The following is a 932-nucleotide window of genomic DNA, read 5'->3' as shown; positions in this document are numbered from 1 at the left end:
GAGAGTCAAGGACCCACTTGAGGAGACAGTCTGACCCTTAGCAGAGCTTGAACGCTGTGCTGGGAAGTCCGCTGCTCTCTTCAGAGCCATCAGGCAGAGACGTTTAAGTCTGCTGAAGCTGCACCCACAGCTGCCCCTTCCCCAGGTGCTCTGTCCCAGGTAGATGGGGGTTTTATCTATAAGTCCCTGACTGGGGCTGCTGCCTTTTTTTCAGAGATGCCCTTCCCAGAGAGAAGAAATCTGGCAGTCTGGCCACAGTAGCCTTGCTGAGCTGAGGTGAGCTCCGCCCAGTTCGAACTCCTGGTGGCTTTGTTTACACTGTGAGCATAAAACCACTTACTCAAGCCTCAGCAATGGTGGACACCCTCCCCCCACCAAGCTCAACCTTCCCAGGTTGATCTCAGACTGCTGCTGTGCTGGCAGCAAGAATTTCAAGCCAGTGAATCTTAGTTTGCTGGGCTCCATGGGGGTGGTACCCATGGAGCCAGACCACTTGGCTCCCTGGGTTCAGCACCCCTTTCCAGGGGAATAAACAGTTCTGTCTCACTGGCATTCCAGGTGCCACTGGGGTATGTGGGGGGAAAAAAAAACAAACTCCTGCAGCTAGTTCAGTGTCTTCCTAAATGGCCACCCAGTTTTGTGCTTGCAACTGAGGGCCCTGGTTGGATAGGCACCGCAGGGAATCTCCTGGTCTGTGGGTTGCGAAGATGGTGGGACAAATGCAGTATCTGGGCCAGAGTCCCCAGTTCCTCAGGCTCAGTCCTTATGGCTTCCCTTGGGTAGGGGAGAAAATTCCCTGACCTTTTGCAGTTCCTGGGTGAGGCAACTCCCGACCCTGCTTCGGCTCACCCTCCGCGGGCTGCACCCACTGTCCAACCAGTCCCATTGAGATGGAAATGCAGAAATCACCCACCTTCTGCATGTATCTCGCT

General features: G+C 54.8%; 1 annotated feature.

Moving 5' to 3' along the window:
* Positions 222-722: an enhancer, noted in NCBI's record as "H3K4me1 hESC enhancer chr13:81936645-81937145 (GRCh37/hg19 assembly coordinates)". NCBI's record gives its function as "activates a minimal SCP1, AML or CMV promoter by ChIP-STARR-seq in naive H9 embryonic stem cells {active_cell/tissue: H9 hESC(naive)}" and the evidence as "EXISTENCE:reporter gene assay evidence [ECO:0000049][PMID:30033119]".

This window comes from Homo sapiens, chromosome 13 (genome assembly GCF_000001405.40).
Source record: "Homo sapiens chromosome 13, GRCh38.p14 Primary Assembly".
In the NCBI taxonomy this organism is placed as follows: Eukaryota; Metazoa; Chordata; class Mammalia; order Primates; family Hominidae; genus Homo; species Homo sapiens.
The sequence above is the reverse complement of the archived record's forward strand: the minus strand, read 5'-3'. Positions and strand labels throughout refer to the sequence as shown.